The following is a 17875-nucleotide window of genomic DNA, read 5'->3' as shown; positions in this document are numbered from 1 at the left end:
AAAGACAACACTGAGCAGCTGGAACAATGAAGGCATGCAAAGGATGATGGGTGGTGGCTCAGGGACAAGGGAGAAGGCAGACAGCCCTGTGTGGGAGAAGGAGATGGAGGTGGGAGAGCCTGGCTACCCTCAGCTTGGGAAGGCTTCCTTCAAAGCATTTCCCTGCTGGATGCCTGCCCAAGAGAGAGGCAAGCAGCTGATTCTCGGCTTTGAGGGAAAAGGAAATACACAAGTGTTAACAGATACATTAGCTCCTCACCTGCCCCTGCAGTGGGGGCCCCCAACATTCCTTTTCTCACCATTTCTTTGGGCCAAGAAATTGAGGCTCAGAGAGATGAGGTCACAGAGTGGTGGAGAGGAGGGCCCAGTCTCTTTCTTGCTCCGCCAAACAGGCTCTCCTGTTGGGCCTTCCCATCACACCTCCTCACTCCTCTGATCCCTGGCTTTTTGAATCCTAAGGGAGCCTTGGCAATTATGGTGAAGACAGTTGCCCTCACCCTTGCCACACCCCCACTGCCATGCTAAGGCACGCTGGCGCCTCTATGTGTAGGCACTCTGCTAAGCCTCCCTCTTAAAACATATGTTAATCCTCACAAGTATCTTAGGAAATGGTTACACTTTTTGTCCCCATTTGACAGAGAGGGAAACTAAAACTCACTACAGAGCAAGTCACCTGCTAGAGGCCACAACGCTGGGAAGCAGCTTCACCGCGGGCAGTGCAGCTCAGGAGCCTGAACTGTTACATCAGTGTCTCTGCTTCAAGGTGGGGCTTGAGGGATCTCCAGATGGGGAATGGAGGTGAGGGGGTAACGAGTGTCCAGGCCAAGAGCAGGACACAAGGTATCACCCCTCAGAGTGCTTTATCCTGCTGGCACTCATTCAACTGTCCCCCTGCCTCCAGGCAAAGCTATACATAAGCCTGCAGTAAGTCCAGCACAATATTTTTGAGAGACCACCCCACATCCCTACTCCTCTCCACCTCCCATCCCCAGCCCACCAGCATTCCAGGGTGGGGAACTGAGCTCCTGGCAGTTGGCTGAGCTCAGCTGGCCTTGGCACCAGTTCCTGAAGTACAGTATGAGGGAGTAGGGTGGGGAAAGAGACCCTTCCCCTTGAAGATAAAGGGGAATACAGGGCTGAGCCCTCAGTCGCCAGCTTCTTCCTCCCTGTCCCAGACACCTTCTGTAGAAAAAACCCAACTCAGTTTCTCCCCTTTCCTTTTATACTCTCACAAAGCAGAATACTTCCAACACCAGATGTGGTGGGGGCGGGAGGGGTTGTCCCCACACACCAAGCAGGCGATTAGTTGGGCAGCAGACACCAGCCCAGATGTCTTCTAATTTTGTTCCATTTTGACATTATCTACCTGGAGATAGCATCAGATCCACAGGTTGAGGGCTCAGTCCCCAAGACTATCCCCCCATCCTTCAGATGCCAATTGCAAGCCCCGTGTTGGTTTACCAGTGCTTCCCACCGACTGGCTATCAACTGGGTTTCCCATAAACCCCTCTTTGGGTTTGATTAATTTGCTGCAACAGCTCACAGAACTCAGGGAAATATTTACTTCTGTTTGCCAGTTTATTATAAAGGGATACCAATGAAAAGATGCATAGGGAGAGGTATGTGGGCAGGGGCGTGGAGCTTCCATGCCCTCCCTAGGAACCCTCCAGGAACCTCCAAGCATTCAGCTATCTGAAAGCTCCCCAAGCTTTGTCCTTTTGGGTTTTTATAAAAGCTTCATTTCATAGGCATGATTGATTAAAGCACTAGCCATTGGCGACTAACTTAACCTTCAGCCTCTCTCCCTGCCCCAGGGGCTGTGGGGTGGGCTGAAAGTTCTAACCCTCTAATCCTGCCTTGGTCTTTTCTGTGACCCCTTTCTGAAGCCACCTAGGGGCTGCCAGCCATCAGTCAACTCATTAGCAAATAAGTAGACATCACTTTAAAGAATCTAAGGATTTCAGGAGTCGTGTGCCAAGAAACCAAATACTGTATATATTTCCCAGTGTCACACCTTTCCACACCTACCCTTACACACAGCCAAGGACTTGCTTCTAAAATCGCTGATCTATCTAGGTCCCATCTCTTCTTAAAATCCTTCCCAGCTACTTTCAGGATCAAGTCCATACCCTGCTGCCTTCCTGCTACCTTCCCCTCTATTCCTTGCACTCTCCAGGCCCAACACATAGCCGCCCCGTGCCCAGTGATACCCAACTACCTGGCATGCCCAAAAGCCCTTTCCCTCCCTCAAGGGAACCTTCACCTTCACCCTGTGGCCCAACCACCAACTCAGTGGAGCCTTCCTTGAGCGCTGGTAGAGTCCTCACTCCCTTCTCTGTTCACGCACAGACCCTCTAAGGTGAGGTCTGTTGACTCATCTGCATTGTCAGACAGCAGGAGCCCTTGAGGGCAGAGATTGGCGTGACTGTCCCCTACCCCCTGCCCACAGCAGAGCGTACACAGAGGAAGCACACAGGAAACAATGGCTGGAATTTGCTGCACTGGGTACCCCAGGGTCAAAGAGGCCAAATCTAAGGGTGACCCTGGGCAGTGGAGTCTCTTGGAGATAGACCTGACCATAAGCCCCCGAGCCAGGTCAGACCAGGGCCCGCCAATTGGCTCTCCCAACCTGGCTCGTTAGGGGAATATGGACACTGCCAGGCCCAATCTTTCCATGGACGCCTGACAATGGCTGTGTCGAGAATCACAGGAGATGAAGTCATCGCTCCCAGAAATAGGCTGATTAAGAAGACGTGACGACAACGCAAACAGCAAGGCTGGACACACACACACATACACACGCGCGCACACACACTCACTCACCATGTGTTTCTCCACCCTGGGAAGCCGGGCCAGGCCTGAGCTCCTCTGGGAAACAGAAATCGTGCCAGGAACCAAAGCCAGCACAAGAAGCCTGGAGGCGGCTGGTCTTTGGGAGTGGCTGGTGCCGGGGGTGCTCTCCTCAGAGACTGTCTTGCAAGGGTTCCCTGTCCTGACCCTCACTGAAGTCCCCGACCTGCCCCTGGCCCTCTCAGACCCTCATGGTTCACCCCCTCCTTGGCCTCACCCCTCAATCCCCAGGGTAAAATCCTACCCACCTTTTTGGGCCCCCTCCCATTCCTGTCCATCCTAGATTCTGGGGAGGTGGGAGTGTCTACTGGCTGAGACAGGGCTCAGAGGCCACAGACACTGGGCTAAAATCCTGGTTCTGTCCCGCTGCAGCTGTATGACATTGGGCTAGTCAATCCACCTCTTCTTTGAGTCTAGTTTCCCCATCTGTAAAATGTAGACAGCAATGTGTCCACATTATGGGGTACAATTAAATGTTTGTTTGTTCATTCACCAACTTTCTGTCAGGCCCGATTCTAGGTGCCAGAGACACATCAGGGTACAAGACATAAATGTTCTACTTGCATGTGGCGTACAGTCTAGAGTGTGGGAAAAGTACACGAAGTATGTAACAACATCAGGTGAACTCAACAGCTAGAGACAAATGCAGAGCCAGGTCCTGGCTAGAGGATGGGAGGGGGCTGTGTTTGACCGGGTGGTTGGATTCACACTTGAATGAAGTGGGGCAGCAAGCCACACAGGTATCTGAACAAAGAATGTTCCAGGAAGAGAAGAAGAGGGAACAAGGACAAAGATGTATGCTGGAGCACTCGTGGGGCAGGGAACGGGGAGGGGTGGGGGAAGTGCAACTGGAAAGGTAGTCAGGTGCTCCCCATTCAGGGTCCACAGGAAGGAACCTGAGTCATAACAAGTGAGTCCTGGGCAGAGAACTGACTGAAAGGGGAGCAAGTCTAGGGCTCGGTGCAGGGTCCAGTGGGGAGCCATGACGGCAGGGCACACAGCACACAGTGAGGGTGTGTCACCTCAAGCGCCAGCATGAGGGAATCCTCAGTAAACAATCCCCCATGTTGTCCCTGTCACTATCCTCGTTACCATCAACATCCTCATCATCCCCAACATGGGCCCAGGCTCTGCTGCTCCCAAGGCAGAAAGACTGTCAGGCAGACTCTCAGAGAAGCCCTGGGAGGTGGGCAGGGCTCTCTGCCCCATTTGACTGATGATGAAGTACCTTGATCAAGGTCCCCCAGCAGCAGTGGGCAGGGCCAAGGTGCCTTAAGCCAGTGCTCCACCCCGAGTGGGCTCACCAGCCTAAGTAGACAAATCTTCACCATGCACCCTCCTCTCCGCCCTACCCCCTGGGCCCAATCCTCAACCAGCTCTGTGTCTTCATCCACACAGGGCCTCTAGGGGAAAACACTGTACTCTAAATGAAACAACAGCTCCAAGTGTCTGCATTGCACAGATGTCAGTTCTTTCCCATCCAGTTCTTTGCTTACTGAGCAGGAGGTGCTGCAAGACCCATCAGGTGAAACCAGGGTGGGGAGAGTTCCTCCCAATCTTAGCTTACAATCCACTTCCTCCAGGGCTCCCCTGAGCCCAGACCACACTCCTCCCTGGACCTGGTTCCTGGCTGTCCCTTGTTCTGAGCAGCAGGGAGAACCTGAGGTAGAGACAGTTTCATCAGGGGTGGCAGGCACCTCTCCCACCTGACTGGGAGCTCCTCCAGGGAGGCAGGGACTGCAGCTGATTCCTGTCTCTGTCCCCAGGGCCAGGCACAGGTGAGCAAAAACAGAAATAACTCAATCCCGAGGATCCCTTGGGGGAGCCCTGTGTGCTCTCGAAGTCCTCAGCCAGCCAGCCTGCTTGTTGCCTCCCTCTCTGCTGGCTGAGGCAGCCCACGGCCTGAGTCTGTGTGGCACTGCTGGGAAAAGACCATGCCCTCTTCCTTCCAGAGCCACAGACTCCGTCCATGGAGGGCCACCCAGCACCATAGCTATGGGACTAAAGGCTGTGGGTGCTGGGAGAGAGGGCTCTGGGCCATGGCAGCTAGGCTCCCTCAGTCCTTCTGCAGGCCAAGGAAGCAGGAGCATGCTGGGTGGCCTGTTCCAGGCACAGGGACGTGGATAAGATCATTTCATTGGCCACAGAAAAAAGTCTGCAGAAAAAGTCCCCGACCAACAGTCCACCGTGGCTTTTGGTGGAGTAAGAGATTCTATGGTGGGAGTGGCATAGAAGTTTTGTTACTTTTTGCTTTATAGTGCCTGGAATTTGGTACTCTATACTTGCAATTTTTTTAACTTATCTTGTTTTGAAACATAGTCTCATTATATTGCCCAGGCTAGACTCAAACTCCTGGGCTCAAAGGATACTCCTGCCTCAGCCTCCCAGGTAGGCCTGCAGTCATAACTTCCCTTTTTCTGTTTCTTCCCCCTGTCTGTCACTCCCCCTATGATCCACACTTGAGTTTCTTCTTCAAACCCACTGGCTGTCTGTGTGGCTGTCTACTCTACCAGTCAGTGGGAGCCCTGGGTTTCAGTCCCCTCTCTGGCCCAAGGCCCTGCATACAGCAGGGGCTCAATGAAAGTTTCCTGGGCAAATCTCTGGGACAATCTGAAGGACCATTTCTGCAGGTGATCATTTAGAAGAAACTCAAATATGGATCATGGGGGGAGTGGCAGACGGGGAGAAACTGAGAAAAAGGGAGGAGTCATAACTGCAGGCCCCGAACAGGAAGACACCCAAACAGGCTTTGGCCAGAGCCGTTCAAACCCTCTGAACAATGCAGGACTCCTGCAGGGGAGGAACAGGAAGAGGAGAAGGGAAGAGCCCCTTTCCAAGGGTTTTTAGGTGTTCTTGCGAAAGCCCTCCTGGCCCAGCCCAGAACCTGAAGGAGCTGCAGGAGAGCAAATGCAAATGGCAGGGGAGGTCACATGCATGCATGGACAACGGAGAGATCGACAGCCCCCATTCCATAGCTTTCCTGGAGATGAGGATCGTGTGTCCTGGAGGTTTCTCTTAAATACTCATGACCCTTCTTCCTTGAGCTCCTGCCTGGCCAAAGCCTCATTTATGTGACGGTGTTGGGTAAACGCTGCTGACTGGAGGGATGGACACAGCTGGAGGCTCTCAGGGCAGCCTGGGTCAGGCCTGCAGCACATCTGCACGTCCAGGGCATGCAAGGATTCCATGACTGGGCGGGGCCCCATCAGTTCCGCCCCTCACTTCCCAGTTCCCAGCTGCCCTGAAAATGCTCAGGCAGATTCCCACCACCACCCCTCTGTCCAGGTGCCCCCTCCCCAGGAAGACCTTGCCTATTGCCCTCTGCCCATCTGGGTTTTATCCAACCTTTAAGATAAAGGTCTTTAACTAAAGAGTATGAGCTGTATTTGGTCAACATTCATGTTTTGTTTAGCCCACACAGTGTTGACATTTTTAAGTTTTGAATCAAATGCCAACATTTAAAGATGTGAAATTTTAAAATGTCACAAAAAAACCTCTAGATTTTTGGCTTCTCTTATAAATCCAAAGGCCTGCCACCAAATGCCCAGTGCCATGGTGCAGGGGCTGCTGCCCCCCTTAGCAGAACATGTACTCTCCAGATGGACACAGATGCCACTACAGTGGTGGACTGTCACAACAGGCAGGACATGGCAGGACCCACAACACATCAATCCTTCTCCCAGGATCCCACTCAGTGCCTGGCACACAGCAGGGACTTGCTTATTGTTTGTGGAATAAGGAATAAATACACAGCCCTTCACGGTGCCCAGGATTTCCTGAGTGCTATGCTGCTTCCCTGAGAGACTCCCACAGCAGGGACAGAACAATGCCCTTCCTTCCTGGGGTCCTGGTCCCACAGCTGGGCACACCTGCAGCAAGACACTGGGGTGAGCCTTCAGGCTGCATCCAGATCTCCCTATTGTTATTTGATCTTTACATCAGAAGCTGTGCCACCTAGAGCCCAACCAAAGTAAGAGCAGTGATCCTGGCACCTTCCTGCCTTCTAAAAAAGGTGGCCGGATTCCTCCCCAGCCCATGGACAGTGATCCCCAGGACTTCTGTTAAACTGAAAAGGAGAAATTTGGCAGCAATAACTCACAAAGCCAAGGTTTCCTCAATGCTCGCCTGCAGGAGGTCTGCCCCTCTTTGAAGCTGGTAACCAACTCTTCCCTTTTTCTTTCGAGTAAATGAAACCCCACAGGGTTTTCAAGGTCAGAGTGGCATTGGCAGGAAGGGTTCTCTTTGTTCTCCTGCCTCTGACTTACCCCAGACACAGACAATTGTCCCCAGCAACCAGGTCCTTGGTAGTGGAAGAGGAGGCCCCTGCTCCTGCTGGGTGGAGCCCTGAGGATGAGCCAGGTGCCTACTGCAGCCCCCAGGAGCCCTGCTTCCTGGGATACGGATTCTCTGTTGGCCTGGCTTCCCTGCCAGCCAGGGTGCTCTATCTCTTGCTTGCAGGGGTTGGAAAGAAACAGCTGTCAGCCTCCAGGGTGTGCTCACTGCCCAGGGAGCAGGGAGTGGGCAGTGGCTGGGGCTGGTTCTGCCCCTCCCTGGCTGACAGATGTGACCTGAGGCTACAGCCCTCCTCTTCCTAAGCTTCAGTTTCCTTGTTTGGAAAACAGGGAAATAAATACCTGATCTGAGACAATCAGACTCCTAAGGGGACTGGGAGGAGCTCTGTGAATCATAAAGTGCCATGCCGAAGTTAATTATTCCAGGGCCTGGCACAGCACCCGGCACGCAGTAGGTGCTCAATGTATCGTTCATGGTACAAACATTTACTGGGCACCTGTGCTGGGCCAGGCTGTATGCTAGGTGCCAGAGGCCCAGAGAGGAGGCCTGGGCCCGGTCCACAGGAGATCTGCCACTCAATGAGGCACACAGACAACTGCCACACCCTGAGAACTGCAAGGAAGTAAGGACCGAAATGCTACAGGACCCAGACACGGGGTGAGGGGCTCAGGTCTTACAAGAGCCCCACCTTTTGGCTGCTGGGCAACAGAGGCCAGAGTTGGAGCTGCCCAGCTGTAGGCTGCCTGGCATCCTACCCATTTTCCAATAGGGCCTAGTTGAAGAGAGTTGCCAGGCTTGGTGAACAATCTGGTTCACTGAAGGTGTCTATGTGCACCTGGACACATGCCTAGGACCTAACAATGAACCTTGTGGGCCATACACTCTCTTAGTGGCCCCCACACCTGCTTGGGGAGTAGACTACAGGGCCCCTGCCCTGAGAGGAGCTGCCACCCCATCCCAAACAGGTGGTGGCCACCAGAGGACTTGAGAGTCATGTTGCTGGTGGTTCACATTTTGGCTCTGCCTCTTACTAGCCCATGAGACCTTGGTCAAGCCACCAAACCTCTCTGCATCTGGTTTCCCCATCTCTAAAACAAGCACACCTCTCAGGTCACTGTAAGCACTAAGAGATGAAGCACCTGGCACAAAGGGATGCTTATCCTTGGGCCCTCCCTCCCCCAGTCTAATCTGGCACATACACGGGTCTGGGCCAAGCCTCTAACCAGCTCACCTTCTCTATCTCTGCCTCTCCTTAATGCTGGCTCCTGCCCTTCCCAATGATTTCTCACTCTCCCGATGCTCCAGGCCCTTTCCCACCTCTCACTGCAGTCTCAATGACTGTCCCAGGAAGAGAGTAAGGTTTTCATCCTCTGAGCACTAGGCTCATGGGGTTCCCTCTGCCTAAATGCCCTTCCCTGCCTTGGTTATGTGATGAACCCATCCTCTTTCAAGCCTTAACTCCTGTCACTTCTTCTGTGAAGTCCTCCCGGATTCCTTGAGAGATGGCCCGACTCCTTCCCCAACCCCCAGCAGAGAGGCACAGAAGCAGCAGGCCAGGGTCTCCAACTTCTTACGTGTCCTTGGGTACATCCCCTCCTCATTCCTGGCCTCAGCTGCCCATCTGTAAAGGGATCACTATGACTTCTCATCCTAAGGCCTTGCGAATGGGCTTGGTCATGTGCTCCACTTTGCAGGGAGTAAGGGGACCATAGCCAGGTTTGCCCGGAGGTTCTGAGGAGCTATGAAGGAGCTAGATTCTTGCTTTGTTCTACCAGTGAGGGCAGGACATGTATATGTCAAGAGATCCCATCCAGTGCCCTCATGAAGCACCCCCTTGCTACCAGGTGGAGTGGACCCAAAAGTGAAGCACAGAAATCAGGCACAAAAAATGAGGAGCAAAGTGAAGGCCTTGAAGTCCGCCTAGGACTGGGGGAGGGGGAGCAGAGCCAGCTTTAAGCAGAAGGAGCTAGGATCTGAAAGACAGGTATGATCAAAGTAGGAATCACAGGGGAAAGAGAAGGCAGCATTCCAGAGAGAGGACACAACACGAGCCGGGGAACTCCATGACACAATCCCGGTTAACTCATCTCCTGCGCTTGCTCTTCGCCAGGTGCTGCTAAGCATTTAGCTGCAAATCCCATTCATTCCTCTTGACAATGCCATGAACTGATACTATCCCCCATTTTGCAGAGTTAGCTAAGTTCTCTAAAGTCACAGCTGACAAGCGGCAGAGCTGGAATTTCAACCCAGCATTTGCCTGCAGTGTCCTGTGGGTCAAGAGAGGAGACCAGGGCCTGGTGGCTCAGGGGAGTGGGTGATGCAGTGTAAGGACTCGAGTCTGGAGACTCCCGAGGGACTTGTTAAGACCTCGAAGTCGGGTTTTGTTGTCCCTGCAGATAGATCTTGAATGGCACCAAGCCCATCCCAGCGTATGTTGATGACATCCCTTGGGCGTGACCTCACCCACACATGGGGGTGTGCAAGCAGAGTCCGAGGACCCCCGCCCACGCCTCCCTTGCACCATCTGCCTGAACGCTGCCTGAGCTGCTGCGAGCAGCCAGTGAGTGAGTGAGTGAGCCTTGGAGGGCGTGAGGGAGCTGGGAGAAGGCAGCCAGTCAGGAGCCGCGGCTGCCGGCAGCCACACAGACAGGCTGGCGCAGAGCTGTTGCCAGGGCAGGCAGGAGAGTCTGCCTTCACAGGCAGAGGGACTGAGGATGGGTCGCTCTCTCCTGGGCCACCAGCATGTCCATCCAGGGCCTCCCCACCAAGAGCCTGGCCATTCTGAAACCTCGACACATAAGGACAGCAGCCCCACAGGGAGACCACCAGCAAGGAAAGCCATCGAGACAGAAGGCATGGTCACACCTGACATGCCGGAAACAAGACTGTCATAACGCGGCCCAAACAGGGACCTTGGCTGGGGGCTAGAGGCTTCTGGGCCAGGAGTTTCAACAACCCAGGCTCAGCTTGCAGGACACCCATCACTGTGTGGTACCTGCCCTCCCCCTGGACCAGGAACAGCAGGAAGTCCAGGACTGGAGGGGGAGGGGAAGAGAGAAAGAAGAGGGAGGTGGTGCTCAAAGGAGAATGCTCCCAGGAAGGCAGGACCCTGACCAGACTCTCACCCGGGCCTCCTCTCAGTGCCCGGCATGTGGTTGCCACATGGCAGGGTGAGGCACGGCAGCCAGAACTATGGGTAGAGAGGAGTAAACACGCCAGGAGGGGCAGGTCAGAATGCCCAGGGCACTGCTACGTGGTATGCTGTCCATATGCACACATACTAAGGTCAATTACACACCGTGTGATAAACAAGTGTGTGACCCGAGTGAATCTGCCCAGGGGCGGATTCTCAGGATCCACATGCCAGGGGTAGCTACAGCAAGCGCGTTAAATAGTTTTCTGTAAAACTGCACCGAAAAGGATGCAGTGTTTCCTCTCATGTGTAGAAACGTGCTTCTGCTAGTACAATGAGTGGCTTTTAGCTAGCTGGATAAAAAGGGCTTGTGGGCACCGCCATCCTGTCTGTACCTGCCCTGAGATTCAGGCTAAGCAGCAGGCCAACTCTTAGGAAGCCACTCAGAGTCCAGAATTCTGCTTGACCCGAAGTCCCACCACTTAGAAGATCCTGGCCCCTGAGCCGATGTGGAAGTTGGTAATTCCTACCATGAGGACTGCATAGCATCACCTAGGGGTGAATCTATGGTGAAAAGTGCTTCTCTGAGGGCAAGATTCCCCCGGGGCTGCCCCAGGCTCACAAGAGACCCCGGCCCATCTTCATGAGTGCTTGCTATGACACATGCGTGCACAAGGCCCAGCTCCGTATGAGACTTGCCTTCGCTGAAACAGTCTTCCTGGTAGATGCTAGGAGCAAAGGAGACAGAGTTCCCACTCACTACTCATCATTAGAGGCTACAGAAATTCACCAAATAACCTGACAACAGCAAAGTGGACACTTTGACTTAGCGGGAAGAGTGACTGCAGGGTTGACCATGGGAAACGTGTGGCACTGAATTACCACGCCTACCTTGGTGCAATGGCTCCCATCTTGGTCTTTGGCCAATCTGGGAAACTTGTTTCCCCATCACATTCCTGGGCCTCAGGCATGTGGCTCCTGGCCTCCAAGGAGGCAGGAGCAAGAGCAGAAAGCAGAACACTGGGTACCAACCCCAGGATGCCCACTGGTGTCTCCTGGCAGCACACTGGGGTGCTGGGACGGGGATGGATCCCCTCTATACTCTCAGGGCCAGTCTCTAAGGGCCCTGCTGTTTATGTGAAGAACTAAGCAGAATTATTTTGGAAATGGAACCTGAGCAGGACAAAGAGCTGGGCTCTGCAACCAGCCCACATAAACACTTAGCCTCTCGCCAGGAAGGGCTGCAGTTTATATTTCGCAAGGGACAGGGCACAGCCAGTCAGACCTAAGTTTGGGATGAAACTCAGTTTCCGGACAATAGCAGTAGCAAAGCATCCCAGGCCAAGTTCCTGCCTCACCTGGGGTTCAGCTGAGCACCAGGCTCTGCCTTACATGTGGCCCTATGGGCACAGTGTGGCCTGGCTTCCTGAGCTGGCAGCAGGCAGTGTTACATCCAGCCCAGGAAGATAAAAGTATACTCCACTACCACCATCCCTTGGAGGCCTGTGACCCTCTCAGAGACGGAAGAATCCAGAGCTGCTAACTGGGGATCTCAACACTTGAGTGGGTCTCAGAATCACCTGGGGCTTGTCAGGAATACAGATTCCAGAGCCCCCCTTAGACCTGTGACCCTGACCCTCCCAGGGTGGGGCTCCAGAATCTTTTTACCAGGTTCTCATGGCACTATGATGCTCAGCTACAACCAGGCACCAAGACAAAGTGGGATGCCTCTGGTGCTCCTTCATAATGCCCACAGGAAATGCCTGGACTCTCCTTATCTGCTGCTGCCACTCCTGAAACCTTGGGAAGTTTACAAGAACTCACAAGCACCTTCCTTAGAAGCACCTTCAGGTGACCATACCTCCACCCACCTCTGCAGACAACTGATAGGCCCTACCTGATGACAGTCCAGCTGGGATTAGAGGCAGGGAATAAACCAACCCATTTCATGGGGAGAGAAGTGTGTTATTTACAGAGCCTTTTGAAAGAGGAGTCACTAGTTGACCTGGCATTTTGATCATCAGAAAACTACCCAAGTCATGGCCGGGTGCAGTGGCTCAGGCCTGTAATCCCAGCACTTTGGGAGGCCGAGGCAGGCAGATCACGAGGTCAGGAGATCGACACCATCCTGGCTAACACAGTGAAACCCTGTCTGTACTAAAAATACAAAAAAATTAGCCGGGTGTGGTGGTAGGTGCCTGTAGTCCCAGCTACTCGGGAGGCTGAGGCAGAAGAATGGTGTGAACCTGGGAGGCGGAGCTTGCAGTGAGCCGAGATCCTGCCACTGCACTCCACTCCAGCCTGGGCTACCGAGAAAGACTCTGTCTCAAAAAAAAAAAAAAGAAAGAAAGAAAAAGAAAAAGAAAACTACCCAAGTCACGCTGTCATTAAAAGGAAGCAAAGACCCAAGAAAGCAAAGAGGCCTGGCTGTGGCTGTTGAGGGTTCCCCCTTTCTAGAGTCCTATAACCCTCTCTCTAAAGACTCTCAGGCAACCACCATGAAGCCCCCTGCCCTGCAGGAGCAAGGTCCTTAACCCTAGCTAAAGAGACACCCTCAGGGCAGCAAGTGCCAAGGCCAGCTCCCTGGAGCAACGGGGCATGCCCCTTGGCATGGGTTCCCCATGTTCAAATCTGGACTCTGCCATTTAAGGGTTCTATGACCTCTGGCAAGTCTCTTAACCACCTTCAGTCCTGGTTTCCTCGCTTGTGAAACGAGAAATATCCACTTCTTAGGATGGCTGGAGGGTTAAGGCCATACAAGTCCCGTGGCAGCCCCTCCTATAAGACCCAACAGGACTGCACGAGTTCTCCCACTGCCCAGAAGGTTCTTCCCTGAGAGCTCAGCTTACTCCTTTTGTCATCGGGGAGGCCCTCCCCACCACCCCCACCAGATGAAACCCTTCAGATCTGGGCTCTCACTGCCTTCAGGACACATGCCTTAATTGCAATTACACAGTCACCTGTAGGACAATTGCACTTCAGCCTGTGTCCTCCACTAGGGGAGGAGCTGGGGCTGGTTTTGCTCACCATTACATCCCTCAGCTTAGCACCATGCCTGGCATGTAACTGGCTCTAACTGAAGAGTATCCTCTTCTTTGAGACCAGGTTGTCAGAGCACCTGTCCCATTGTTGGCTCCTGACTTCATCACTCAGTAACTCCTGAGTCCAGCCTCTATAATATTTGAATCGGTGCCCCGCCCTAAAAGGGAGGCTCACAGCGCCAATAGCTGCCTGCCTGTCTCCCTGCTGCTCAGGACTCGGCCTTGCATGGCTCTGCAGATTTCACGTAGTAACACCTTCTCAGAGTTTCCGAAGCAAACCAAAGTCATTTGCCAACCATTTTCTCCCATTAATCTCACAATGCATTTGCTATTTTCCCTCCATAATGACTCATTTAGCAGCAACAGAGCAATTAGGCAGACCACAGAATATTGATTTTCTAAGTGGGAGAAATGTCAGCACAAACATCACTTCATGTGTCTTGGGCCATCTCTTGCTATATATATGATGAGGTGGACCCTGGGAAGACTGGGTTGGATGTGCTGGCAGGTTGTGGGATCTCAAACAAAAAAGCAAAAGCATGGTGTGTGAGAATGTGAGTACATGTGTGTGATGACAGAATATGATCAAATTACCATGTAACATGATCCCATGTAGACCTCAAAACCCTGGGAGGTAGGCACCACAATCATGGTGCCCATTTAAAAATGAGGAGACAGAGGTTCAGAGATTAGGTGACTTGTCCCAGATCATGGAGGAAGTCAGGGCGTCGGATCTGGATCTGGGTCCATGTGTCAGCAGAGCAGGATTCTGTTCATCAGAGAGCCCCCGTGTGGCTTGCTTTGGGACCAGAATGGAAGTGTCAGGTGTGGCAATGCAGTACCTTTCATGGTGTATGGTATAACCCAAGATTTTTGAGATATAAAACAGTTGGCCTGAGTCCTGAAGTCACATCTCAGCCCCGGTGCAGCCTCTAAGCCCAGCTGCTGTGAACAAATTCACCCCAGGCTCCCCTGGCCATCCACCAAGCTTGTCCAGTAACTCTCAGGAAGGCCTGGAGAAAGACAAGCCAGCTGGAACCCCCTGCCCTGCTCCTTCACCCCTGCACCACCACTACTGGCCAAAGTTGAGTGCATACCCAGTTTCTGGGGCACCTCAAACATTCCCACCCTACAACAAGAGGGCAGGAGAAGGAAAAGGGTGAGAGTCGGGAATGGTGTGATAAGCAGGCATCTGGCGGTTTTAGGCCCCTGTCTACAAATGGCTCCAAAGCCAGGCCCCACAGCTTGGAAACCCTGAAGGAAGGCTTTCACTCACTCCTGCCTCCACCCTCTAGACACTCCAAGCAAGCTGGGAAGGGCACTGTCAGAGCAACAGGTCCTAAGGCCCCACCCCAGCCAACATACTGACATCTATCCAGGGAGCAAATGGTTTCTTGGTGGCCAAGAGGAAAGAGCTGAAGGCCCAGCTGGCAGACGTGGGTTTAAATATCAACTCTATGTGCCCCTGGGTGAGACAATTACCCGCTCTGGGCCTCAGTTACCTTATCTATAAAATGGAATAATCCCTGCCCTGCCACCTTCCTAGCTGGTGTGAGGGCCATGTGGGGAATGACAAGGTGCCACATAAATGCTGCCTGGGGAAGCTCCACAAAGGGGGAAGTTTACAAGAGTTGGCACTGTCCTCCAAGGGCAGGGGCCGCTCCAGGTGGAAAGAGCTCCCCATTGCTGGAGATGTGCCAACACTCTGGAGTGCCGGTGTGGATGGGAAGCAGAGCATCCTGTACGCCCTCCCAGGGGCTCAGACACACGCTGGCACATTAAAGCCTCTAAGGAGCCATGCATTAAAGAAACTGACTGACTTGGTTCACTGGACCTGTTTGGACTGTGGAATTCCCTCATCCCAAGTACCCATTAACATCTGTAAGAATATGTTCAGTAGAACCCATTTAAGAAATACTCCTACAGAAGGTTTGGAGCAAGGCCTTTCAAGAGTACTCATGGCGTGGCGAGACTCTAGGACTTTCCCCAATGTCAACCACATGTTGGGGGCAGGCCCACCCCTTACTCTCCTTTCTAGCATGAAAGGGAGACAAGGCCATGCGTCAGAGGGAAAATTCACGTCAATGAAACACCATCAAAAGGGATTTAGAAATCTCAAATAGGAATCACTCCCAGGCTACCTCCAACTTTAACAAGCCCAGAAACTGGGAGGGATTGAAGAAGGGCCCCAAGCAGAAACACCTCCCCCTCCCCTACTTGTCTGAAAACTGGCCCTCATTGCTCTTACCTGCTGCATAAGCATTGCTCCCTTTGGGCTGCCAGAAAAGAGGGCTAAGCCCCACAACAGCTGATCACACTTCAGAGAAAAAGGGTTAGTGGGACCACAGAAAGCAAGAAGAATAAGAATCCTAAACCATCTGTGTGCTAGAAAACCCATGTGTGGATCCTGGAAGAAAGCACACACTACCCCTCACCTGCCCTTTATCATGCTATGGGAGCCATGTGGACACACCAGAGCCAGCCCCCAACCCAGTGCCCTCTCCTCTCTCTGGGGGCTCCATGCCAGGAAAAGCAGAGGAGTCCAGGAACCATCGGCTCCCCTGGAAGAGCTCCGGCAAACCTATCCATGGCAAACCCATCCATAACGGTGCAGACTTTGCTCCCAGCAAGGACAGAGCTTTATTAATTATTCAGGAGACGGTGCAATTATGCAAATCTGTGGGCAGCCTCTGCCTGACCACTGCCTTCTGCAGAGGGAGTCTAGAGGGGGATGGGGAGGCCCAGAGCCCAAGCTGCCAGGTACATGGACGCCACCCAGCCTGCAAAAAGGGGAATAAACCCCTACACCCTAGGCCTAGGCTGGTCCCAGACAAACCACCTCCCCACAGAGGGCTCTCTGACCAGAGCCAGGCCCCATCCCACACACAGGAGAGCTGGTAGCTGCTTTGAGGAATGATATTGAGGACCTAGGATGACTTTTTTCAAATACATATGACCCACTACCTGTTGCTGAGCCAGCAATGCCATCATTCAAGGCTTACTCCTGCAGGTACTAAGGGCAGGGAACACTTCCAGAGTTTCCTCCAAAACATGCTTCTGAGGAGACATAACACCTCAAAAGAATGTTTACCAAATAATGTTCTGCAAAATACAACTGCTCCACAGATGTTAACAGCTGCTCCTGGGGTTGGGGGACAGGAAACCCTGGATTAAACAAAGCAAAACTGACTTCTTCATTGCAGGACCTCTCAGGGCCTTTCATCTCCTGGGTCACAAATGATTTCCCAAGAATGAGGAAGCAAAATTTGAGGATGTAAAATGTATTTGAGCACACAATCACCCCACTGGAGTAAAACATCAAGTCTCACCTCCAAGAACCTCTGACACTGAGTTTGAGAAACTCTGGACAGACTGCTCCCCAGTCCTGTTTGGACTATGGAATTCTCTCATCGCAAACGCCCATTAACATCTTTAAGAATGTGTTCCATGGAACCCAGTTCGGGAAAACACTCCTATGGGTGCTCTGAACAATAAGCAGCAGAGGTACGAAAGACAACAAGGCCTTTCAAGTGCACCCCTGGCTTGTACAGACTCTAAGACTAAGTTCTCTGCCAGCTCCATTTTTCCTTAATTCTGAAACTCTCTGGAATAGGTTTTCACTATCCTCATAAACAACCATCAAATTCGTGGACTTTATGATCCTAGGGCAACTGAGCAAGACCACCTCAGGCAGGCTGGATGGGCTCCGGGCAGAACATCTGGCCCTGGCACTACCACTTCCCTACGTCACATCCAGTCCACAGAAGGTGGTGACACCAGGGCAGTGTGGCCTGCAGCACAATAGGCAACTCCCTTGGTGAGTCTGCTGTAGTACTGCCTGGGGTGGCTGGGGATTTCAGCGCCAGCTTCACCCATCTTCCCACAGATCCTGAGCAGAGGCTGGTGGGGGAGTCCCTGGCCACCATCATCATCACCCTGTTTGCCTTCACCCTCCTGGGTAGTGATGGAAGTCACCTCTATGTTCTTCTGACCTTGGAGGAAGGGAAGTGCTATGGAAGGCCACTTAGCCTAGCCACGACCCCTTCTTGTACCTGCCCCACCTCACCCAGCATTATAAGTCAACAGATCCAAACGCAGCCACAGCTCATCAGCTCTGCCCAGGTGAAAAGAGGTGTGGGAGCCCAGAACCCTGGGGGAGCCACAGAAAAAGACGCTTGAGAATAAGTGATAAGTTGCAAATAGGAGGGGCAGTCACTGAGCCGAGCCTGCCCTCACATCCTGATGACTCTTTCTTAAGGCCTGCCTCCACTGCCACCCCTACCACCTCAGGACTTGGGCACCCACAGCAGCCCCCAGCAGAGCCCCGGGTGCCCTTGGGACATACTTCCAAACCGCCTGGCAGCAGCCACATTCTCTCACCTGGGAGACAGAAAAACATTCTAGAAAGACCTGGATGCAAATCCTGTCTATGCCACTCACCTGCTGTCCGACTCAGGGCAAGTGACTTTTACCTCTTGGAACCTCAAATTCCTCACCTGTAAGATAGGGAGAGGGCAGTACTGTGGGGTGGTTAAAAACACTGATGTGGGAGCCAGAC

General features: G+C 53.0%; 1 protein-coding gene across 2 annotated transcripts in view, besides 2 other annotated features; it reads right to left on the bottom strand.

Moving 5' to 3' along the window:
- DAB2IP (DAB2 interacting protein) overlaps positions 1–17875 on the bottom strand; it is a 218457-nt gene that overhangs the window by 57561 nt on the left and 143021 nt on the right. The gene's annotated exons all lie outside the window — the stretch shown is intronic.
- Positions 7250–7777: an enhancer, noted in NCBI's record as "H3K27ac-H3K4me1 hESC enhancer chr9:124482472-124482999 (GRCh37/hg19 assembly coordinates)". NCBI's record gives its function as "activates a minimal SCP1, AML or CMV promoter by ChIP-STARR-seq in primed H9 embryonic stem cells {active_cell/tissue: H9 hESC(primed)}" and the evidence as "EXISTENCE:reporter gene assay evidence [ECO:0000049][PMID:30033119]".
- Positions 9255–9852: an enhancer, noted in NCBI's record as "H3K4me1 hESC enhancer chr9:124480397-124480994 (GRCh37/hg19 assembly coordinates)". NCBI's record gives its function as "activates a minimal SCP1, AML or CMV promoter by ChIP-STARR-seq in naive H9 embryonic stem cells {active_cell/tissue: H9 hESC(naive)}" and the evidence as "EXISTENCE:reporter gene assay evidence [ECO:0000049][PMID:30033119]".

The sequence above is a fragment of the Homo sapiens genome, chromosome 9, assembly GCF_000001405.40.
Source record: "Homo sapiens chromosome 9, GRCh38.p14 Primary Assembly".
NCBI lineage: Eukaryota > Metazoa > Chordata > Mammalia > Primates > Hominidae > Homo > Homo sapiens.
The sequence above is the reverse complement of the archived record's forward strand: the minus strand, read 5'-3'. Positions and strand labels throughout refer to the sequence as shown.